General features: G+C 53.9%; 1 protein-coding gene and 1 pseudogene across 1 annotated transcript in view, besides 8 other annotated features; both read left to right on the plus strand.

Annotated features, from left to right (window-relative positions):
• PPP1R37 (protein phosphatase 1 regulatory subunit 37) overlaps nt 1–23763 on the plus strand; it is a 54107-nt gene that overhangs the window by 15220 nt on the left and 15124 nt on the right. The window lies entirely within an intron of this gene.
• Nucleotides 8033–8688: an enhancer, noted in NCBI's record as "H3K4me1 hESC enhancer chr19:45619689-45620344 (GRCh37/hg19 assembly coordinates)". NCBI's record gives its function as "activates a minimal SCP1, AML or CMV promoter by ChIP-STARR-seq in primed H9 embryonic stem cells {active_cell/tissue: H9 hESC(primed)}" and the evidence as "EXISTENCE:reporter gene assay evidence [ECO:0000049][PMID:30033119]".
• Nucleotides 8867–9026: an enhancer, noted in NCBI's record as "active region_14781". NCBI's record gives its function as "activates an Ori minimal core promoter by ATAC-STARR-seq in GM12878 lymphoblastoid cells {active_cell/tissue: GM12878}" and the evidence as "EXISTENCE:reporter gene assay evidence [ECO:0000049][PMID:35858748]".
• Nucleotides 10567–10616: an enhancer, noted in NCBI's record as "active region_14782". NCBI's record gives its function as "activates an Ori minimal core promoter by ATAC-STARR-seq in GM12878 lymphoblastoid cells {active_cell/tissue: GM12878}" and the evidence as "EXISTENCE:reporter gene assay evidence [ECO:0000049][PMID:35858748]".
• Nucleotides 10797–10846: an enhancer, noted in NCBI's record as "active region_14783". NCBI's record gives its function as "activates an Ori minimal core promoter by ATAC-STARR-seq in GM12878 lymphoblastoid cells {active_cell/tissue: GM12878}" and the evidence as "EXISTENCE:reporter gene assay evidence [ECO:0000049][PMID:35858748]".
• Nucleotides 13510–13699: an enhancer, noted in NCBI's record as "active region_14784". NCBI's record gives its function as "activates an Ori minimal core promoter by ATAC-STARR-seq in GM12878 lymphoblastoid cells {active_cell/tissue: GM12878}" and the evidence as "EXISTENCE:reporter gene assay evidence [ECO:0000049][PMID:35858748]".
• Nucleotides 17607–17746: an enhancer, noted in NCBI's record as "active region_14785". NCBI's record gives its function as "activates an Ori minimal core promoter by ATAC-STARR-seq in GM12878 lymphoblastoid cells {active_cell/tissue: GM12878}" and the evidence as "EXISTENCE:reporter gene assay evidence [ECO:0000049][PMID:35858748]".
• On the plus strand, nt 20060–20883 carry EIF5AP3 (eukaryotic translation initiation factor 5A pseudogene 3; annotated as a pseudogene).
• Nucleotides 21331–21832: an enhancer, noted in NCBI's record as "H3K27ac-H3K4me1 hESC enhancer chr19:45632987-45633488 (GRCh37/hg19 assembly coordinates)". NCBI's record gives its function as "activates a minimal SCP1, AML or CMV promoter by ChIP-STARR-seq in naive H9 embryonic stem cells {active_cell/tissue: H9 hESC(naive)}" and the evidence as "EXISTENCE:reporter gene assay evidence [ECO:0000049][PMID:30033119]".
• Nucleotides 21853–22147: a silencer, noted in NCBI's record as "tiled region #10789; K562 Repressive non-DNase unmatched - State 18:Pol2". NCBI's record gives its function as "represses a minimal TATA promoter and a strong SV40 promoter by Sharpr-MPRA in K562 cells {active_cell/tissue: K562}" and the evidence as "EXISTENCE:reporter gene assay evidence [ECO:0000049][PMID:27701403]".

Below are 23763 nucleotides of genomic sequence, written 5' to 3' on the forward strand. Positions count from 1 at the left end.
GGGGTTTCACTGTTGGCCAGGCTGGTCTCAAACTCCTGATCTCAGGTGATCTGCCTGCCTCAGCATCCCAAAGTGCTGGAATTGCAGGCGTGAGTCACTGCACCTGACCAGATTTTTTTTTTAATGATTGAATGAATAGTATTTGCATGTGGGTGCCTTGATGTTAAGATGGTGTCTTGTTTTAGCGAGCGTTCTTTTGACTACTAGTTAACTTCGGTTTTGTTTGTTTGTTTTGTATTTTTGTGGGTTTTTTTTTTTTTTTAATGGAGTTTCACTCTTGTTGCCCAGGCTGGAGTGCAATGGCGCGATCTCAGGTCATCACAACTTCCGCCTCCCAGGTTCAAGCGATTCTCCTGCCACAGCCTCCCGAGTAGCTGGGATTACAGGCATGCACCACCACACCCGGCTAATTTTGTATGTTTTGTAGAGACAGGATTTCTCCATGTTGGTCAGGCTGGTCTGTAACTCCCGACCTCAGGTGATCCACGCGCCTTGGCCTCCCAAAGTCTGGGATGACAGGCGTGAACTACCGTGCCTGGTCTTTTTTGTTTTTTGTAGAGATGAGGTCTCGCTATGTTGCCCAGGATGGTCTCGAACTCCTGGCCTCAAGTGATCCTCCTGTCTTGGCCTCCCAAAGTGCTGGGATTACAGGCATGAGCCACTGCGCCCGACCTAACCTGTTTATTGTTAACATGTTACATGGTTCTGGGAATTGGTTCTTCATGCCCTTTGCCTATTTTTATTTTGGGACCTTTATAAGGACTCCTCTATTGAAGATAGATGTAATTTTATTGTGCAGATATATTTGTCCTCATTTATCATTTGCCTTGCAGGAAAGGTGGGGGACAGGGGTGCAGGACACTAAAGAGAAGCACTTTCTCCTCTGCTATTTCACCGAGTCATCATAGCAAAGCCCCATCTCAGTGTGAACAGCTTGGGATGGAGAAACACAGGGCTGGGGCCCTCAGAGAGGGCAGAGGAGGCAGTGGCAGCCCAGGCCTTGGAGGCCCTGCAGTGTAGGAGAGAGGGTGCTTTAGTGGAGGCCCGGCCTGGGAAAAGGGTTAGCAGGTTACAGAGGGTCCACTGTAACCACAACTCCAGCCCCATTTGCTGAGCACCAGGCTGAGTGACTCGGTGAACCTGCTGGTGCCCCACATTTTTGCAGATAAGAAACTGCTACTTGGGGTCATTGGTCACTTGCTGAAGATGGCAGAAGCCAGGGCAGCCCTGCCTGGGTCCCTGGACACATCCAGCCCACCACAGCTATGGAGGCTCAGCAAGTCCCAGGAGCCTCAAGTTTCAGCAGGAGCCTGGACTCCCTCGTCTCCCACAGCCATGGCCACCACGTCATCAGCACCCTCTGTATGAGGGTCCTGTATGTCATGTGCTGTTTCCTTCCAGTAGCTTCCTGACTCTTCAGGAATACTGTTCTTTGCCCTGAGGATCTGTCGCCCACCTGCATCTGCAGCCTCAGCTCTGCTCCCCCTCTGCCCTGTTGGAGGGTCCTCAGAACCGACTCTTCCCTCTGTCTGGAAGGATGGCCTGGACTTTTGTGTGGCTCCTGTTGGCTTATGGCCTCCTGTCCCCATCCAGTGTAAGCTTCTTGAGATGGGATGTCTGGCTTTTTTGTTCACCAGTGTAGCCTGGCACCTAGAATAGTGCCTGGCATAGAATAGACAACAATAAATATTTGAAGGAATTAATGAATTCCCTTTTTCTTTTTTTTTTTTTTGTTGAGACAGAGTCTTGCTCTGTCTCCCAGGTTGCAGTGCTGTGGCGTGGTCATGGCTCACTGCAGTCTAGATCTCCTGGGCCCAGGTGATCCTCCCGCCTCAGCCTTCTGAGTAGCTGGGACCACAGGCACGTACCACTACACCTGGCTAATTTTTGGATTTTTTGTAGAGACGGGGTTTCCCTGTGTTGCCCAGGCTAGTCTTAAATTCCTGGGCTCAAGTGATCCTCCTGCCTTGGCCTCCGAGAGTGCTGGGATTACAGCCATGAGCCATTGCACCTGGCCACATTTCTTACTTTTACTCATCTTTTAGGTCTCAGTCGAAATGTTCTTTTCTCTTATGGGTCTTTTCTAACTATTCCTCCAAATCTGAATTTGTATCCCCTGTGTTTTCCCCTATAATATGCATTTTCTTCTTATAACTGGTAAATTTTTGGGTGATTTGTTTGCCTTCCTCCCAGTCCTTGAGGGCAGGGACCAGCCCTGTTTTGTTCACGGCTGTCTGCCTAGCCCAGGTTGTTGCATAAAGAATGAATGAATGAAAATATGTTCATTAGTTCCCAAACAGACCTCTGAGGGTTGGTGGCATTACCCTCTTGTTATGAAGGAGGAAGGTGAGGGTGGGCAGTAAGAAATTCCAAGCACCTGGTTTCCATCACTGGAGCCTTTGCTGGACCAGTAAACAGCTTACAGTTTCTAAAATTCCAATCTAAAGCACTCCCAAAGCTTCTGAATTCAGATGGCCATCTGGTACCCATGACCAGAAGCCTGAGGCAGGTGGCCCGAAATAGCCTGCCTGGTTCTGGCAGGACTGAATGTCTACCGATGAGTGCTGGGCTTTCCTCAGAGGCCCCCTTTCCCGAGCCTGGCCCTGTCACCTACTGAGGACTTGGGTGGGTGGCAGTGCTAGGAAGCATTGAGCCACTAAATGACTCAGCAAACCCTTGTCAAGCACCTCGGTGCCCCCAGCTCTGCTGAGTCCTCTGCCGGATTGTCTTGCCTGTATGCTCATTTGACCCTGACAGTGATCTTCAGTTCCCCAAGGCTCCAAGAGCTCTGTCTCCTCTGAGCCTTTGCACATGCTGTTCTGTCTGTTGCAACACTCTTCTCCCTCCCTTCTGCTTTTTAATTATTATTATTATTATTATTATTATTTTTAATTGAGACAGAGTCTTACTCTGTCACCCAGGCTGGAGTGCAGTGGTGCAATCTCGGCTCACCACAACTTCTGCCTCCCGGGTTCAAGCAATTCTCCAGCCACAGCCTCCTGAGTAGCTGGGATTACAAGTGCGCACCACCACACCCAGCTAACTTTTGTATTTTTTTAGTAGAGACAAGGTTTTGCCTTGTTGGCCAGGCTGGTCTCGAATCCCGACCTCAGGTGATCCGCCTGCCTCGATCTCCCAAAGTACTGGGATTACAGGCATGGGCCACCTTGCCCAGCCCATTTATCTTCTTGGCATATGGAATATGTATGTAATGTACATGTAAGTTGTTGAAGTGTAATATGTTGAAGACCTGTGAGCCTCCCTCCTAATTTCAGAGTGAGAACATTGCCATTAACTCACCTCTGCCTGTGGGTGGGTGGAGGGAGCCCACTGTCCTGACTGTTGTCATTGTCATTCTGTGTTTTTTATTTTTTGCGGGGGGCGGGGGTGGATGGGTGAGGGACAGGTGTGTCAGGTTCAATAAAAAGGGAAAGGGTCATCAGGTGGCCTTTTTAAAAGTTTTATCAACCATGTCTGCATGCTGAAAAGCATGGTGTTTCGTTCTGCCTGTTTTTGAGTTTCATAAACATGGTATTGTGAGGAAATTCCTGGGTCTTGGTTTTTCTTTTCTTTCTTTTTTTTTTTCTTTTGAGACAGTCTCGCTCTGTCGTCCAGGCTGGAGTGCAGTGGCATAATCTTGGCTCACTACAACCTCTGCATCCTGAATTCAGGCGATTCTCCTGCCTCAGCCTCCCAAATCCCAGCTGGGATTACAGGCTCCTGCCACCACACCTGGCTAACTTTTTTGTATTTTTAGTAGAGACAGGGTTTCACCATGTCTGTCAGGCTGGTCTTGGAACTCCTGACCTCAAGTGATCCGCCCGCCTCTGCCTCCCAAAGTGTTGGGATTACAGGCATGGATTCCTTCTGATACATTTCACCTGGAGTGCTGGGATGACAGGCGTGGGATTACCTTCTGATACATTTCACCTGGGGCGTGAGCAAGACTTTCGCTAGAGTCTGGAGCTAGGAACAGAATGGCTGGTCATAGTTGATGAGTACATTTGGCTTCTCAAGGTAATGCCAATCTTTCTGAAGTGGCTCTCGCCACCTTTTACCTGACTGACTCCTGCTTGTTCTCCAAGAGTCTCCTTCCTGGCTGTCTTTCCTTCAGCACCTACTTAGGGGAGCAGCAGCTGTGTGCCTAGTGTAGTTATGTTCTGGGGGGCAATGCGAACAAGACTCACAGTCCCTGCCCTCTAGTGGCCAGTGGTGTTAGATGGTCCCTCTTTCAGGACGCCCCCAACCCCAAGTCTGGGTTAGGGGTTTCCTTTGCCCCAGCTCTACCTACTCTGGCTTGTCACTGTCTAGGGATGGGTCTGCCTTCCCGACTGGACCAGGACTCCTGTGTGGACAGAGACCAGGATTAGGGTTGTCTTGGACGCTGTTTCCAGCATGACCCTGCCCGGGGCACAGAGCAGGTGCTGGGTGAAGCAGGTGCTGGGTGAAGCAGGTACTGTTGAGCTTGAGGCAGTTGGGGTCAAGAGGAAGAAATGGATTCTAGTATCCAGGACTTTCTGGAGTAGGACCTGGACCCCAAGGCCATGTAAGCCCAAAGCCTCATACTTTCCCTAATGCCTGAGTGTTCAAGATTCCTTTACCTGTGCTGGGCTCTGTGGCAGAGGGAGGGGTCACAGCTCCTGCCCTCGACAGCTTAGAGAAGAGTCAGTGCCTAACTACACACCCCTTCCATAGTGTGCAGGGCTGGGGATGTGCGGCTGGCAGGGTCCTCACAGAGAAATGTGAAGCCCACCCGGCCCTCTGGGAGCTCAAGTGTTGGCATGTCTTTTCTGAAGAGGGTGAGGGCAGGAAGATGTGCATTACCCTTAGAAAAAAAGTAGAAAAGGCCAGCCTTCTCATGCAGTGCCAGAGCAGTTAGGGCTGTATGGGGGCCACTGTGGGCCTGTAGATTCGTAACAGGAATCATAATAGCTAGCGTTGGTGGAACACCCACTGGGTGCCACGCATGGCGTTGAGCCCTCCGTGCATCAGCTGGTTTTATCCCATCCATATCCCACGAGGTAGGTGGAATTGCTGCCCCATTTTACCAATGAAGGAGAGATCCAGCTCCTCACAGCTAGTCAGTGGCAAATCTGAACTTCACTCCTGGCAGCCAGAGCCCAGCCCCTGCCCTGCACGATGGTAGCAGAGCCTGTCTGCAGGCACCAGGCATTCAGAGAGCTTTACCTCCTGTCCTCTTGACTCTTCATGGCAAAGCTGGAAATGGGGAGACTGAGGAACAGAGTTACTTGGCCCCAGTGCTGCCTCTGATTTGAGGAGGCAGGGTCAGCCCTGGGCCATCGCTGCCTTTGTCCCTGAGTCTGCGTTCCCCTCCACTCCGTGAGCTCACTCAGAGAGTTCTCTCCGCCCCCTCACCACTCTTGGTGATTATTTATCCCCAGGTCTTCACTTCGGCACCATCAGGTGCCCAGCCCTGGGTAAATATTTGTCTCAGGGCAGACAGGAGTGGGTGTGGTCAGCGTTTCAGAGCCCGGGGGCAGGTGGAGGCAGCAGGTGGGGTGGTGACTGGGGGCCCCTGGCTGGAGCTGGTGGCTCTGCTTGCTCTTTGCTCATCCAGCATCCACTCTCCCGGGGGCTGCTGAGGCGTTGGCCTCTGCAATAACAGGGGCTTCCGTTTGCCACGCGCCAGCCCCACACTAGACGCTTTACACAAGAGAGTTCAGTGGCTGCTTTTAGAAGTCTTTGTGTGTCAGTCTCAGTCTCATTGGCTCCATTTTGCAGATGAGGAGACTCAGCCATGAAGGGTCGAGAGCCATTGCCTGTGTCAACTGGGGTCTGTTGAGTTATCAGGGCCAGAATCCACCTGGGGCCACAGGAGGTGAATGAGGGTGTTCATTGGATGGAGGCCAGGCTTTGCCTGTTCCCAGGGGTCCTGAAAGCTGGCAGGAACCAGGTCTGCCACCTGCTCTCTGGAACACATGCACTCCTTGTTCCTCTTTCTCTCTTCAGAACGTCTTCCACTAGGCTGGCCATGGGCCACACAAGCCCAGCCCTCCTGGTGTCTGGAACAGGACCACCCAGTCCAGCCCCCTGACCCGGGCAGCTCATGCAGGCTTAGCTAGGACCCCACATCCTCCCTGTCAAATGGGCGATAGAGGGCCAGCCCACGCTTGTTGGGGTGGAGGGCAGTTTTTAGAGGAGGCTCTGCAGACACCCCAAATAGGCACCCCCAAATACAAGGTCTGACTGCAAAGGCCATGCCCTCACTAGGTTGCTGTTACATGTGTTTAGAAGGTGCATTCACAGGCTGGGCATAGTGGCTCACACCTATAATTCCAGCACTTTGGGAGGCCGAGGCAGGAGGATCACTTGAGGCCAGGAGTTCAAGACCACCCTGGGCAACAAGTGAGACCCCCCCCCCCATCTCCACAAAATATAAAAAATTAAATTTTCGGAAGGTGCATTCACATCACAAGGCAGAAAGTCACTAGTGTCCTCAGATGTGTACATCCCTTTGGGAAGCTCCTTCCAGCTGGGGGGCTTATGGAGGCCATAAAGGAACCCCCTAACTCCCCCTACACATCCCAGCAGAAAGCCCTGGGCTAGGGGACAGTCTTGGGCCCTTGTGTTCTGAGAGTGTTATTAGTCTCCACCACAGGATTGGCTGTGTTTTCTTAGTGGTTCAGGCATGCATTCAGCGAGTATTGAGCTCAGTGCCCAGTCCTGTACTGGGGACACAGCAGTGGCAAGGCAAGCCCGGCCCTGCCTTCCAGGCTTATTGTCCAGAGAGAGGGAAGTGTGGGAAACAAGTTGGCCAACCAGCAGACAGCACCACTGCAGATTGAGAGAAGGGTCTGGAAGGAAATAAACCAAGGCTGGAACAGAGGAGACAGTGGCGAGGCTGGTGGGTAGGTACCTGGCTTGGGTCAGGATATTGAACGCCTTAAACTCTTGGGTGAGGCATGGGGTCCACCAACCAGATGAAGTGGGCTTTGAAGTCAGGCCTACCTGTGCTGTGTGTCCTTGGCACATGCTCCATCTCCCTGCGCCTCAGTTTCCTCCTTTGGAAAGGATGGGGGAGGGATAGCTGTACCCCAAACCGTGGCATGAACAGAAAGGTCAAGGGTTTGGCTAAGAGTGAGGATTGTGGAGCCATAGACTGCTCAGGCTCGAATCCCGGCTCTGACTTTTACTGATTCTGTGGCCTCAGTTTCCCCATTTGAAATGGGGATAATAAACCCTACCTATCTTAGGGTTGTTGAAGACAGTAAATGAGGTAGTATATGTAAGTGCTTGCCATTGCTCGTAAAAATTATTTATCGTTAAAAGTTGCGGCCAGGCGCAGTGGCTCACATCTATAATCCCAGCACTTTGGGAGGCCGAGGCGGGTGGATCATCTGAGGTCCGGAGTTCGAGACCAGCCTGGCCAACATGGTGAAACCCCGTCTCTGCTAAAAATACAAAATTAGCCTGGTGTGGTGGCGGGTGCCTATAATCCCACCTACTCGGGAGGCTGAGGGAGGAGAATTGCGTGAACCCAGGAAGCGGAAGTTGCAGTGAGCTGAGATTGTGCCACTGCACTCCAGCCTGGGTGACAAGAGTGAGACTCTGTCTCAAAAAAAAAAAAAAAGTTGTGTGTCACATGGGGGGACTCGGGTGCTTAGCACACTGCTTGACTGGGGACCCAGGGATTAAGGCCTTGACTTCCGCTTTCATCCAAGCCTGCCATTGACCTTACATGCAGCTGCTGTGTGTGAGGCGCTGTGGCATGAGGGAAGGTGCGCCCAATCTGCCTTGTTCCTTCCGTCCCAAGAGACTTGGAAAGCCATGAGTGTGTTCTGACCGCATCTGTTTCTGTAACAGGATCTTCAGCTGCGGCAGGCAGTTGGGAAGGTCAGGACGAGGGGAAGGGAAGGCAGGCCTGTGGCACCTGCCATCTGCGCCCTTCACTGGAGTGGGCAGGCCTTGCCCACATCCCTGCCTGAGGCCTGGGGTCTGGAGGCCTGGCTCCTTGTTGGCTATGTAAGCCTAGCCCGCCCCCTGGAGCTGGCCATCCTGCAGCATGTGGCCACGGTACCCACTGGCTGAATGGTGGTGCCTCCCTGCCGGGAAGGGCAGAGAAGAGCCCCTCTCACCCAGGAAACTGCAGGACTCACGGCCTCTCAGCAGGCCTGAGGAGGGCACGGGGGTCTGAGAGGGAAGGACCGGCCATCCCAGCCTCCCCTGAGCAGGCTAACTTTCCAGGACGCATTGCGGGCTCCCTTCCCTCCAGCCCGTGGTTCTCTGGGGAGAAGGGAAGGGTGGACGTTGTCTTCATTTCCCAGAGTGAGTCGGTGCATTCGTTCATTCATAGACTCACAGCGACAGACACCACAGTGACGTCCCTAGACTCAGGGAGCCCTTGGTCTAGGACAGAAAACGAGCAAGTAGATCCTTAGAGATTGGGACGTGTCCAGTGAGGAGGCAGAGTGTTGTCTGGGTGTGGTGTGGGGGATGGGGATGGGGGTGCTGCTACAGAAAGGGGTCAGGAGAGGCTTCTCAGAGGAGGTGACTTTTTTTTTTTTTTTTTTTGAGACAGAGTTTCGCTCTTTTTGCCCAGGCTGGAGTGCAGTGGCACGATCTTGGCTCACTGCAGCCTCCATCTCCCAGCTCAAGCGATTCTCCTGTCTCAGCCTCCCAAGTATCTGGGACTACAGGCACGTGTCACCACACCCGGCTAATTTTTGTATTTTTAGTAGAGATGGGGTTTCACCATATTGGTCAGGCTGGTCTCGAACTCCTGACCTCAAGTGATGCACCCGCCTCAGCCTCCCAAAGTGCTGGGATTACAGGTGTGAGCCATTGCGCCTGGCCAGGAGGTGACTTTCGAGTTGAGATCTGAATGGCAAGTCAGCTGCGGCTTAAGCTGCAGGAGGGGAGGGAAGCTGTCAGAGGGAGGGAAGAGCAGTTGCAGACCCGGAGGCGGGAACAAACCACAAAGCCTGTAGAGTGGCTGAGGAGGCGTGGGCGAGCCGAGGGTGAGCCCCGGTGGAGTGCTGGCATCAGGGGGCCTTGTCCTGGGCTGAGGAGTTGAGGTTTTACTCTCAGTGCAGGGACAGGTGGTGCCGAGTGAAAGCCTGTGGCAGCAACCAGCCCGCTCCTGCACGGTCTCCTAAGCTAATTGTGCGCCTGCTTTGGGTCTGAATGGCGGGGACTGCACAGGACGTGGGTTTTCCTTCTACGGTGGGAGGTGATCTCAGGGAGTCTCCCTGCAGGTCCCCACCAGGTCTTCTGTGTGCCTACCATGGGCATGCAGTTCTGAAGCGCTGACTGGTGGTGGGAAACCTAGCCTGGAGATTGTCCCAGCCATCCCACCCAAGGCAGGGACAGGCCAGTGGGGCTACCCGAGCAAAGGCTTAGGGCAGCTGGTAGACCGGGCTGCAAGAATGAGGCCGCAGAGTTAGTCTTAGAGTAGCACCTGGCAGGAGGCTGGCTCCGTAAGCCAGTGCTCGTCCTTGGCATTGTTGACTCAGTGGCTCAGCTGATGAGCCCGAGGCTGCTGGGGAAGGTGTCCTCCTCAGCCTTACAGCTCCAGCCCCCGCGTGATCCGCGTTTCTCAGGCCTCTGGGTTACTGAGAGGCTGTTGGGGGTGGAGGTGCCCAGCGGTTGTTCACTGGGAAGAAGAACTCACCACCAGCGTCCCTTCATTTTTCCCAAGGAGTCACAGGCAGAGGTTTTTCCGAACAGGCTCAGCAGCCAGAAGTCCCCGCCTGGGCTTCCAACTGCCTACAGAGGTAGCTGCAGCCCTCCCCTCAGGCTGGCCTGTGTCACTGCCCTATTCTATGTCCAGGCCTCCCGGCACCCAGCCGCTGTCCCCATGAGTGCCCAGGGGAGCTCCCAGTTTAGCAGGGGGAGAGGGTTCCCCAGTGCAGAGTGGGTGGGAAGCCCGGGGCCTGTGACCTGTGTCACAGGGCATCTGAGGATGTTGTTCCTGGAAGGCAAGTGTGTGGCCACGGAGCTGACTTTGGGCTCTCATTTAGGAGGCTGACTCTGAAGGTCATAGTGGCTCAGCAGTGAAAGAGGAGGATCCCCACAGTGTGTGGTCTGTGTGGTCACTCAGGGATGTGACCTTTCTGACCCTCCTCTTCTTTGTCTTGGGTTGGGGGTCCCGGCCATATCCCCTTCCCAGGGATGTGCTAAGGTTTCAGGGAGCTCGGGTACATAAAGGGCTTGCCTGAGATAACTGCGTAGTAAATGACAGCTGTCAGTGGACTCCCTGCCGAACGTTGGGACACCACAGTTACGGACTTGTGCCAGGAGCCCCAGCTTCCTGCCACCCCTCACCGTGTACCTCAGAGTTCTCCTTTGACAACCCTCCATCTGGCTGTCCTGTCCCTCAGGGGTGGGCATGAGGCCCAAGTTCCTTCCTTCCTTTAGCCCACGTTCACTGAGCACCTGCTGGCCGGGCCCCAGGGAGCCACCCAGGTGGCTGCCTCCACAGCCGGGCTGGGCTTTATAACTAATTCTGTCGTGAGAGACTGGCCTTGGTGCCAGACCTCCCTCCCGGCCCACCTGCCGCCTCTGGGTTCCTTGTGGGCCACCGCCTCTGAGCAGCTGCTGCTTTTTTTTTTTTCTCATTTAACTTTTTGTTTTGTTTTTTGGTTTTTGAGACGGAGTCTCATTCTCTGTCACTCATGCTGGAGTGCAGTGGTGTGATCTCACTCACTGCAGCTTCCACCTCCTGGGTTCAAGCGATTCTCCTGCCCCAGCCTCCCGAGTAGCTGGGATTACAGGCACGTGCCACAACACCCGTCTAATTTTTTTTTTTTTTTGAGACAGAGTCTTGCTCTCTGTCACCCAGGCTGGAGTGCAGTGACACGATCTCAGCTCACTGCAGCCTCTGCTTCCCAGGTTCAAGCGATTCTCCTGCCTCAGCCTCCTGAGTAGCTGGGATTACAGGCATGTGTCACCATACCTGGCTAATTTTTGTATTTTGTAGAGATGGGGTTTTGCCCTGTTGGCCCGACTGGTGTCGAACTCCTGACCTCAGGTGATCTGCCCACCTTGGCCTCCCAAAGTGCTGGGATCACAGGCATGAGCCACGGTGCCTGGCCCGTTTAACTGTGTTTTGATGGACATTTTCAGACACAAGAAAGTAGGAGTATAATGAGTCTGATGGACCGACCCACTTTCTGGCTTCAGAATTGATGACTACATGGCCAATCTGTTCCTGCCTATCTCCATGCCACTCTCACCTGCATTATTTTGCAGCAGCTCTAAGATAGCTATCATTTTACCTATACATTGCTTGTGAAACAGTGGGAACACTCAGCCCCAAGCCGGCACCCTCTGTCCTCCACTGTCATCTGCCCCAGGCCCAGGATCAGACCACTGGGAAAGTGGCCAGGTAGGGCTGTGTCTCTTGTGGCTCTGCACACATGAGAGGTGGTGGGTGTGGTGCTCAGAGAAGAGCCAGCTCCACCCCCCAGCACCCCGCACAACCTTGCTGTTTGAAGGAGGCCGCCGCCCCAGGAGGGGCTTTAGGGGCTGCCAGGAAGCCCGGAGAAGGGCCTGGGGTCCCTCTTTGTTCCTGGTTCCCGGCTGCTTCACTGGCTACTCCATCTCTGTGTTCATTTGCTTTTAAATGAGGAGCACAGATTTTTTATTTTCCCCTTCTTTTTTTTTTTTTTTTTTTTTGAGATGGAGTCTCACTCTGTCGCCCAGGCTGGAGTGCAGTGGCGCGATCTCCGCTCACTGCAAGCTCCTCCTCCCAGGTTCACGCCATTCTCCTGCCTCAGCCTCCCAAGTAGCTGGGACTACAGGTGCCCGCCACCACGCCTGACTAATGTTTTGTATTTTTAGTAGAGACAAGGTTTCACTGTGTTAGCCAGGATGGTCTCGATCTCCTGACCTTGTGATCCGCCCACCTTAGCCTCCCAAAGTGCTGGGATTAGAGGCGTGAGCCACCGCACCCGGCTTTCCCCACTTCTTGCATAAAGGGTAGCATTCATGAGCATACCGTTCTGCACCTTGCTTTTTTCATTTGTGTCTTGAAACCTGTTCCCTGTTGGCTAAGAGAGCGCACACTCATTCTCTGTGGCGGCAGGGCTCCACTGCGTGGATGAACTCTGGGGAGCTAGCCGGTCCCTGCTGGTGGATATTGTGGTTGGTTCCGGTTCTGCATTCACAAGCTGCTGCAGTGACTGTCCTTACATGTATGATTTTTCATCTTTGCAAGTATGTCTGTAGGATTAATCTCCAGGTGTGTAATTGCTAATCAAAGGGTATATGCATGTTACTTTTTTTTGAGATGGAGTCTTGCTCTGTTGCCCAGGCTGGAGTGCAGTGGCGCTGTCTCATTGCAACATCCGCCTCCCAGGTTCAAGCGATTCTCCTCCCAAGTAGCTGGGATTATAGGCACCCGCTACCACACCTGGCTAATTTTTGTATTTTTAGTAGAGACGGGGGTTTCACCATGTTGGCCAGGCTGGTCTCCAACTCCTGACCTCAGGTGATCCACCTGCCTCAGCCTTGGCCTCTCAAAGTGTTGGGATTACAGGCGTGACCCACTGTGCCCCGCACATTTGTACTTTTGACTGGTCTTGCCAAATTGCCTTTGAGACGGAACCATGTCCTTGGTCAGGTCCTTTCTCATCTCTAAGCGTCCCCTGGAAAGTTGGGGAGATAATTTCTATTTCTCAGGGCCATTAGGAAGTGGAAACGAGATCGAGTTTGTCAATCGCTTAGTTTTGGGAGTGGGCGCAAAGTTACGGCTCCACCGGTAAAGCACAGTAGAAGGGCCCCAAGCAGTGTTTGTTCTCTTCCCCCATGCCTCTCTGCTGAGTGCCACTGGGGATTGTAGGAGTGGTGGGAGAGCGTGGGGATGATTACTGTTGGGAAATGCATGGCAGTGGCTGGAAGAGGGGGTCAGAAGCACAGACCTGCATTTACACTCACACTCTGGGATGAGGGACTTTCCTCCTCAGGGCGTCTGTCTCCCTGCCATGGGAGGCAGTGCATGTGTCAGCCATGGCCCTCGGCTGTAAGCCCAGAAACAGACCCCTGCAGAATTTGTAGCAAGGGAATGTGTGGGGAGGATGTCACCAGGCAGGAGGACAGCTGGGCCCTCGCATGGGCGGGATTGAGGCCACTGGATTCCCTAGGTAGGGAGCTCCCCAAATACAGGAAGAAGGTTAGAGGCAGGAAGAGCCTTTTCTACCCAGGAAACCTGACCAGTGCCACGCAGTGAATATACAGGGTCCTCACGCAAGGACCTGAGAGATGTGTGGGCAGCTGTGTGCAGTGTATACAGGGAGTCCAGGGGCTGGTGTGAGCCCTGCTCTTGAGGGGCCTCTGGATGCCCGCGGTGGGGTGCTGGGGCCTCCACGGGCGTCATTCTGTGGTTGCTCCAGGATTGGACTTAGAAATCTGGGTTTGACTACATATCAGGCTGCCCTGGGGCCCCTTTCAGTAAAGATACTCCCCTGAGAAATACCTGCCCTTGGGAAGCCCACTGCATTGGGCTTACATGACTGATCAGACTCTGATTCTGTGTGGAGCAGCCTGGGGAAGGGCTTGGAGGCGGGAGTGAGGATGGTCTCCACGTGGGCAGTGTAGACGTGTGGTTTTGCAGGGATAGAGACGTGCAGCAGCACATCCGCAGAGGTAGCGAGGCCTTGGGGGTGTGGGGTTCCCACAGAAAGCTCTGTGGGTACTCTTCTGCCTCCTCCTCCCTATTTCAGGCCCCAGGAGGCCTTGTGTGGTTCTGTCCCTCCCCTGCCCCCCAACTGAGGCCGTGGCATTGTGGGAGCAGAGGACGGAACTGGACACCTAGTGAAGGTGCGTAGAAGGCATTTGCCCCAGGCTGGCTCTGGGCTGAGCACACCCATTGGTGACCTCATCACGTGCACACCTTCGCTGCCTGAGTGCAGGGCACCCAAAAGCCTGCCATAGACAAGAAGGGACCTTCCCTGAGTTCACCCAGCTGGCCCTGTCTGAGTTGGGGACTCACACCTGTGCTGACTCCAGAGACCCACCCCAGCCCCACCTTCCTGTTCCTTCAGTCAACACATATTTATTGAGCACTTACTGTGTGCCCAGTAAAGACCCTTCTGGGGATATTTCAGTGAACAAAAGGGGTAAGAGTTCTCCCCTCATTATAGCATAAATGCACAGATCAGTACGCTTCCTGCTGGGTCATGAGAAGTGCCACCTAGAGAAGGAAGCAGGGATTCATAGTGATAAAGGGGCTGACTTTTTGGAGGGTGGCCAGGGAAGGCCTTTGAGGAGGTGACTTGGGAGTGAAGACCTGCAGGCAGGGAGGGAAGGAGCCGTTGGGGTGTGAGGAAGAGGGGTGCTCTGGGCAGGGGGTAACAGGTGCAAAGACCCTGAGGCACTGTGTCCAGATGGCTCTGCCACTGGCAAGGATCAGGACCTCAATGACTGTAGCAGCCCCTCCCCAGCACCCCCAAGTGAGGTCTGGCCATGCAGCTCTCCCATGTGCATGCTTTGCCTCCCGTGCTCCATAAGCAGGACCTTGACCCCTCCAGCCTCCTTGCTGACCCCTCTCGTCTCACACTCCAGGTCCCGATCTGTGCAGCTCACTGCCAGATGCATCAGGCAGCCTCCTGCACCTGCACTTTCTTCACAAAGTTCCCTCTGCCAGAGACGCCTTTTGCATCTTTGTCATCTCTGAGACTTTTCCAGATGCCTCCCGCTGCAGCTGATCCCAGCCTGGCCATCCTCCCCGCCTCCATGTCCCCTCCCTCCCTCCCTCCATCATAGCCTTGATGCTGTTCTGCCACTGCCCCTGGATTTGTCTCACTGATTGTGCAGAAGGCTCTGGGACAGAGCTGGCTTGTGGGGGATTGGGCCACTGCCTATTGGAGGCATTTGGGGGCTGTCCCAGGGGTGAGTGCACCCCAGGCTGGACCAGGTGCCCACACCTCTCCCGCCCAGCACTGGCACCTGTGAAGGGCCTCTGGAGGCTGGGTCTTCCTGCAGGCACCAGGAAGAAACCTACGAGCGCATCCTTGCTGAGGGCAGGACCCGCTCTCCACATCCTGGAAACCCAACAGAGAAAGACAGTCTCTCTGGCAGCCTCCCTGTCTTGAAGTTCGAGAAGGCTGCATTTCTAGGCTCCCACAACCTGTCTGTCCGGTTTGAAGCCGGGGCCTGAGGGCTTCAGGGTACTGATGCAGGACAGACAGCTCTGGTTCAAACCTCCCTCTGTCCGCTCCCACAGGTGTGGCCTCAGAAGACCATTCCCTCTGTAGCGTGGTAGAGGCTGGAAATTCTACTCTGCAGGATTATGATGCGGATTAAATGCAGTAATCGAGTGTTTGGCAGAGTGCCTGGTAGGGAAGGGGTTCAGTAAAGAGCTGCTCGCACCATTCTGTGCAGGGAATGCTTTAGGGCATGTTTTAGAATTTTAGAACGTGTTTCACTACATGAGTAGCTTCTTGCAGCTTTGAGGCCCTGGCATCCCTCTCCCCTGCCTGCAGGCTTCCTTGTTCACTGGGCCAAGTCCCCGCAGTAATCTTCCTAAGCATGGAGTAGACCGGGCCCTTCCTGGCCAGAACATCCCCATCTACCTTCAGGGTCTACTGCAGTGGCCAGATGTGAGCTTCTCCTCTGTCCGCTCACTCACCTTCTCTGTGCCTGTCTTGGCCCCTTCTCTGTGCCTGGCTGGCCCCATGTGGAGCAATGTTGGGGTAACAGTGTGGACCACAGACCACCCCATGCTGTCTTCCTAGGACTCATAGTCCAGTGGGGGAGACACACAGGTCTCCAGATGGTGACAACTCAGAGGGGACAGGGCTGAGACGGGGAGCCCAGAGGGTGGGGCCTGACCTACCGTGGGGATCAGGGAGGGCTTCCTGGAGAAGGCATCCCTAAGCTGAGAATTGAAGAAGTAGTAAGCAGTGAGAGCATGTACCGTGTAATGTGTAAAGGGGAGGGAGAATGTGAGGTGCTGGGAAGCACCGGGCCCTTCGGGGGACGGGAAGAATTTGGGTGTGGCCAGAGCACAGTGCCCCATGAGTGGAGAGGTCCAGATTGTCTATTTTTCTTTTCTTTTTTTTCCCCCAATGATCCTAGAAATTCTCCCAAGAGAGGTCCAGATTTTTTGACAAGGCTGAAGGGCGGCCCCTGAGACCTGACTCTACCTGTCTGCCTGGCCTTTCCTCAGTCCAGTGCGTGCACGGCCCCCTCCTCGCTCTCACGCATCATCTGTGTGCTCCTTCCCTGCCAGACAAGAACCCCTGGAGGGCAGGGACCAGTTCAGAGCCATCCCTGTCTCCCCAGTGCCAGCACAGAGCTTGGCCTGAGTAGGTTTTGGGGACTGGGCTTGGTGGCTCACACCTGTAATCCCAACATTTTGGGAGGCTGGGGCAGGAGGATCACCTGAGCCCAGGAGTTCAAGACCAACCTGTACAACATACTGAGACCCGGTCTCTACATAAAAAAAGAAAAAAAAAAAAAACTGGCCAAGCATGGTAGGGTGTGCCTGTAGTCTCAGCTACTTGGGAGGTTGAGGTGGGAGGGTCACTTGAGCCCAGGAGTGCAAGGCTGCAGTGAGCTATGATTGAGCCGCTGAACTCCAGCCTGGGTGACAGATGGGGACCCCCCAAAAAATAGGTTTTGGGAAATGTTTACCAGATGAGAGGCAAGACGGAATTCTCCTAAATTCGAAGCTTGGAATTCTCCTAAATTCGAAGCCTGAGGCAGAATGGTTGAAGCAAAAAGAGGAGATTTGTTGTCTTATGGGTCTGAAGGGTCCTGAATAGTGTGGTGTCAGGCACAGTATCTCTTTATCAAACAATATCTCTTTAATCTCTGAGCTTGGCCGGGCACAGTGGCTCACGTCTGTAATCCCAGCACTTTGGGAGGCCGAGGCGGGCGGATCATTAGGTCAAGAGCTGGAGACCATCCTGGCCAACATGGTGAAACCCCGTCTCTACTAAAAATACAAAAATTAGCCGGGTGTGGTGGCGCGTGCCTGTAGTCCCAGCTACTCAGGAGGCTGAGGCAGGAGAATTGCTTGAACCTGGGAGGCAGAGGTTGCAGTGAGCCAAGATCACACCACTGCACTCCAGCCTGGCGACAGCGAGACTCCATCTAAAAAATAAAATATCTGAGCTTGGCTTTCCTCTGAGCTGGCTTCATTCGCGGAAGGCTGTTCCCTCCTGATGGGTGCAGGGATGGCTGCCAGTAGCTCTAGAAATGGGATGCAGTCTTAACCACCCTAGTGGGAAGAGAGCTCCTCTTTCCTGAGAGTTCCATCTCAGGGCGTAGGACCGGCTGTGGCTGGCTCTGTAACCTTCCTGTCCCTGACCGATCATTGTAACAGAGGTTGTGGGACGGGGCACCTATCCACTCCTAGAACCTTTGGGGAGGACAGCGGGGAGTCAAGGTAAAGTGAAGAGGCCTATCCAGGCTCCTGGGGTGAGAGAGATTGGGTGACCAAGGCTGGTCCACCCAGGGGAAGACAGGAAGAGAAGTGGGCCATTCTGGCCTCAGACCTCTTCGTCCTTTCCCAGACCCCACGCCAAGGCAGAGCTCCCTGTGGGATGAGTTTCTCACTTGACCTGAAATCTCTACTTGTGGGGCTGCTGCAAGTGCACAGGCTTCAGGAAAGGTGGACCACACCCCCTGTGCCCCAGGCTCCTTCCCGAGGGTGTGCAGCCCACCATCCAGATAGGGGTGGATGGTGCCCAAGTCGTGGGGGCTGACAAGCATGGAGAGTCCTGCAGAGAGGCCCAGCACCGGATTCCCAGGCTGCTCCTTGAGACGCTGTCCCACATGGGCCGGTCACTCACCTGCCATGAGACTCCCAACTGGGACCTTCCCTGCAGAGCCTGTGAGGTGGAACGATGGTGATGGTGCCCCCTTGTGGGGTAGGTGCATGTGGCAGGCACAGAGTGGTGGCAGCAACTGTAACATACGGTTCTGGAGGGCAGGGACAGGGGCCCTTCCTGTGTGCCTTGTGGTGCTGAGTGCCAGGCTGGGTGAGCTCACCAAGCCCTCCCTGGGAAGGTGCTGTTGATGCAGCAGGGAGGCCCAGGGCAGTCACTGCTCTGTGCTGTTGGCGACGGAGCAGGGATTGGAACCCAGGCGCCTGGCTTCGAGGCCCGCATGCTGTGGGGAAATGGGGCTCTGCCATGTTGGTGGTTATTTATTGTCGTGAACAAGAGCTCAGGCCTGGTTTCCAGGTGTGACTTTATTGCACCCTCGCCCTACCTCCCCGGCTTGAGAATTCTGGAAAATACCACAATAAGTGTTTCTTTTCTCTTTTGAGATTATGTAAATAATACTTGCCTCCATGCTCTTAAAAGAAAATGACATCTCTATTTCCATGTGTTGCGGTGTTTCCTGGTTTGGGACCCCACCAGCTATCCAGTCACCCAGGCTTGAAGCCAGGTTCTTCCCAGCTTCTCTCTCCACCCTGCCCATCCCTGTGCATGTAGCAGTGACCAGGTCCTATCGATTATCTGATTATCTGCCGGAAGCCTCAGGAATGGGAGCCTTCTGAGTCAGCACATCACCAGGAGCACGGCCTGTGGCCAGGCTGCTCAGGGGCTGGTGATGTTGGTTTCTTTCACCTTAATGTGTGAGTTGTGTAGTAATACGGTCCTATATCACTTAATGATGACACATTCTGAGAACTGCGTCGTTAGGTGATTTCATGGTCATGTGAACATCCTAGTGGACTTACACAAACCTAGGCCTGGTCAGGCCTGGTGGCTCACACCTGTAATCCCAGCACTGTGGGAGTTCTAGATGGGCGGATCACCTGAGGTCAGGAGTTTGAGACCAGCCTGACCAACCTGGTGAAACCCCATCTCTATTAAAAATACAAAATTAGCCTGGCGTGGTGGCGTGTGCCTGTAATCTCAGCTACTCGGAAGGCTGAGGCAGGAGGAGAATCGTTTGAACCTGGGAGGTGGAGGTTGCAGTAAGCTGAGATCATGCTATTACACTCCAGCCTGGGCAAGAAGAGTAAAACTCCATCTCAAAAAAAAAAAAAAAAAAAAAAAACCCTAGGTGGCATGCCTACTGCACACCTGGGCTACCTGGAATAGTCTAGTGCTCTTGGGCTCCACACCTGCACAGCATGTGGCTGTGCTGAGTACCCTCGGCAAGTGTAACACAGTGGTAGGTATTTGTGTATATGAACGTAGACAAGGGACAGTAAAAATATAGTGGGAAATCTTATGGGACCACCGGCTGCATATGCAGTCCATCATTGACTGAAATGGCTTTATGCGGCTTATGACTAGACCTGTATGTGCCTCAGTATTCAAAAGATGTAAAAAGGTGGACAGAGATTCAACATAAAGAAATGATCAATGTTTGGGCCGGGCGCGGTGGCTCACGCTTGTAATCCCAGCACTGTGGGAGGCCGAGGTGGGTGGATCATGAGGTCAGGAGATAGAGACCATCCTGACTAACACAGTGAAACCCTGTCTCTACTAAAAATACAAAAATTAGCCAGGTGTGGTGGCACATGCCTGTAGTTCCATCTACTAGGGAGGCTGAGGCAGGAGAATCCCTTGAACCCGGGAGGCAGAGGTTGCAGTGAGCCGAGATCGTGCCACTACACTCCAGCCTGGGCAACAGAGCGAGACTCCATCTCAAAAAAAAAAAAAAAAAAAGATAAATGTTTGAGGTGATATGCTAATTACCCTGACTCAATCCTTGTATGCATTTATCGAAATACCACATGTACCCCATAAATATGTATAATAATTATGTATTAATAAAATTAAACATTTTAAAAAATGTATATAGAGAGAAGGAAGTTTCTCTCTCCCTGTCCTCCTTTGGCTTTGCCAGCTCACCTTCCTAAAAGCAGTCACCTAGTTTATTGTATGTCCTTCTGGAAGGATCTCTGATGGAGCTTAGCTAATGACAATCCACAGCAGCCACAGCCCAGGCCAGCCGACAGAGTTTGTAAATAAAGTTTTATTTGCACATGTCCAGGCTCATTTGTTTATATACTATCTATTACTCTTTTCATGCTACAAGGCAGAGTTGAGTAGTTGCTGCAGAGCCTAGTCTGATCATTTAAGCAAAATATTGTGATGCCTGCAGCTGTGTGTGTTTAAAGTCAAGGCAGGGTGGTAGAGGCAGCGGCAGCAGCAGGCCCAGAGGCAGCGGTTGGGTTTGCAGCGAGAAGACAAGGTTGAGTCAGTGTGTTTGCGAGAGCTGGAATCGAAGCCTCTTAAAATGGCAGATGATTTGGACTTCGAGACAAGAGATGCAGGGGCCTCGGCCTCCTTCCCAATGCAGTGCTCAGCATTATGTAACACTGGCTTCGTGGTGCTCAAAGGCTGGCCCTGTAAGGTCTTTGAGATGTCTGCTTGGAAGACTGGCAAGCACAGCCGCGTCAAGGTCCACCTGGTTGGTATTGACATCTTTACTGGGAAGAAATATAAAAATAACTGCCTGTCACCTTATAATGTGGGTGTCCCCAGCATCAAAAGGAATGACTCCCAGTTGATTGGCATCCAGGAAGGTACCCCTCACTGCTCCAGGACAGCAGGGAGGTGCGAGAGGACCTTCTTCGTCTGCCAGAGGAGACCTTGGCAAGGAGATGAGCAAAAGTACCGCTGTGGAGAAGGGACCCTGATCACCGTGCTGTCTGCCATGACAGAGGAGGCAGCTGTTGCAGTCAAGGCCATGGCAAAAGAACTGGCTCCCAGGGTGACAGTGGTGGCAGCAGTGATCTTCTGAGACTGCAGAGGCCCCCTCCTCTGGCCTTCTGTAGGCTGGACTCTTCCTACACAATGTATTTGATGTTTTATTTTGTTTTTCCCACCCCTTCAATCTGTCGGGGAGCCCCTGCCCTTCACCTAGCTCCCTTGGCCAGGAACAAGCAAAGCCATGGCCTTGGTGAAGCTGCCATCCTTTTCCCTGCTCGCACTACAGCCCTGGTTGGGGGGAGACGGTGGGCGATGCTTGTGGTTTATTTATTTGAGACAGAGTCTCACTCTGTTGCCCAAGCTGGAGTGCACGGGGCACCATCTCGGCTTACTGCAACCTCCACCTCTTGGGTTAAGCAGTTCTCCTGCCTCAGCCTCCCGAGTAGCTGGGATTACAGGCACGTGCCACCATGCCAGGCTAATTTTTGTATTTTTAGTAGAGACAGGGTTTCACTATGTTGGCCAGGCTGGTCTTGAACTCCTGACCTCGTGATCTGCCCGTCTCGGCCTCCCAAAGTGCTGGGATTACAGGTGTGAGCCACTGAGCCCGGCCTTATTTATTTATTTTAATTCAATCTGGAATCAGAAAGCGGTGGATTCTGGCACATGGTCCTTGTGCCCTCCCCACTCACCCCTGGTCTGGTCCCCTGTTCCCCATGGTCCTATACCCTAAGCACGACCCCCACAGACTAAGGCCAGCCCCCTGCCGTACCTGTGCCTCTCCCCAAACCCCTTTAGATGGGGAGGGAAAAGGAGGAGCGGGGAGGGGTCCTGCCCCCATGGGCTTTACCCTTCCCTGCGGTCTCTCTCCCCAACACATTTGTTAAAATCAAACCTGAATAAAACTACAAGTTTAATATGGAAAAAAACAATAATAGTCGAGGCAGACCTGGGCCTTTTAGTCTGTACTCTTGCCTCTGTGAGCCTTGACTCTGAAAAGGGGATAGTAAAAGGATGTCTCTTGGGGTGGCTGGGGGGCTTCTGTGGGGTCCAGGCAGCACAGGACCTAACCAGCAGGGTGCCAAGCAGGGGGATGCCTGGGCTGCAGGCATTGACTCGCCTGTGTCCCACAACCCCTCTTGGAGCTGGAGCACTAGCGGGGGCTCAGCTGCCAAAACCCAGGGACAGGTGAGGCTGTCACCATCCAAGATGGCAATCTGGTGTGCCATTCCTGACTGCCAACCTGCACGATCAGGTCCCCTCCCCGTGAGTACTACAGGGGACCCCACTCCTGCAGAATACAATCCTCCCATGAGCCTGAATCCATCCTGTTGCTGCTCTGCCCCTCGCCCCCAGTGGCTCCGGTCTCCTGCAGAATGAGAGCGAAGTCCTCACCAGGGTCCACGGGGTCACCGTCCCACATCATCCCCAGTGCTCCCCTCCCGGTGTGCTTTGGCGCCGAGCCTGCTCCCACCGTCACACTTAAGCCTGCCCCAGTGGTTGCTGCCTGCCACGGGGTTTGCACAGGGACTGCGCAGTGGGCCTCCTGAATGAAGACCCAGACCTGAGCCCGGTGGGGCCTCTGGGAACACTCCTTTCAAGGCCAGCTCACCCTGGCTCCTTTCTGTTCATTCCAAAATAACAAAATAACACCTGCATTGCAAAGCGTGGTTATTCTGAGCCTGGTTGCCATCACAGTCATATGGGGACCTGTTAAAATCTGGGCCCCTGGGCCCTAGCTAGGACCTCCTGACTCTGGTGCTCTGTGAACCTGGCTCGCAGACGTCCCGATTTCATGTGGTGGACACTGGGGCATGGGAAGGTCATTTCCAGCCAGAGGTAGCATGGTTGTTACGGAGCAGCCCTAAATATTCCTGCTCCAGGCTTGTCTGGACTTCCTCCCTCCCCATCCCTCCTCTGAGAGTTGACACCCTCCCACTGTGTCCCCCAGCCCGCACAGTGTTGCTTCCTGGTGTTTTGACTCCCACTTGGATGACTGTGTCTGTTTCCCCCGCCCTGCTCCAGGCTGGCACGGATGGTGTGAGTCATCACCGCCCCCTGATGCCCAACCTGTCCTTGCATCTCTTGGGTACCATTGCACCTGTGTGCAAATGCCAGACAGACATCTCTCTGCCTGTCACCTGATGCCCGGCGTCAGGTTTCTCTCTGTCCCTTTGTGAGGGCCACAGCCGGCGGGAGTGGGAGGCAAGCTCTGTTTGCCCTTCATCCTCTCCCTGGGGAGCTGGCTGCCACCTGCTGGGCGAGCGGCAGAGCCCCATCCCTGCAGCAGCAAGGCCCTGCCCGCCAGCTGCTGCACAGCAGCATCTCTCCCTGGAGCTCATGCCTTTCACCATCCCACCCAGGGCTCCCCACACCCTGCCTCCGCCCCAGCCCTTCCCCTCCTCAGGCCAGACAAGGGAGCCGAGAGTTGAGCTGTGCTGTGGTTTCAGGTCAAGACAGTCCTGGGGTGTGTTCCAGTCCTGCCACTTCCAGGCTCCATCCCTTGGGCAGGTGTCTTTTCTTCTCCCAGATTGCTTCCCTGATAAGATGGAGGTCTAGTTATGCCAGCATCATAGGGGTGCTGAGCTGGCCAAGTGAAATTGTGCATGGAAAGTACTTAGGAGCTGGGTGAGGCGGCTCACGCCTGTAATTCCAGCACTTTGGGAGGCTGAGGCAGGAGGATTGCTGGAGCCTGGGAGTTCAAGACCAGCCTGGGCAATATAGCAAGACCTTGACCCCTTTGTTTTTTAGAAAGTGCTTATTAGCACTATGCATTACACAGAGTAAGTTTCTGATACCGGGAAGTGGCTGCCACCATCACCACCACCATCATCACGTTTTTCTCCATTTGTGTCTCCTGCTGACTAAGCCACACTGTGACACTGGTGCCAGCTACTTCATGGGTGCTCTCACGTCCCTTGTTGCCTGCGACCCCACAGGTGTCCCTTTCAGGGAGGGAAAGAGGTTGCTGTGGTCATTTAACACAGCCTCGGCAGGCCAGGGATGGAACTCAGGTCTTCTTATTCCAAGCCGTTACCTCTGCAGATCCATCCCCAACACATGCCTGCTTTGTAGAAAATACTCACACACCCAAACACATGTGTTTTGAACACACCTGTCCTCCTCTCTGACAGCCACTTGAATTCTGGTCCCTGCTTAATGGGCCTTCAGAGCCTTG

Source organism: Homo sapiens, chromosome 19 (assembly GCF_000001405.40).
Source record: "Homo sapiens chromosome 19, GRCh38.p14 Primary Assembly".
Lineage (NCBI taxonomy): Eukaryota > Metazoa > Chordata > Mammalia > Primates > Hominidae > Homo > Homo sapiens.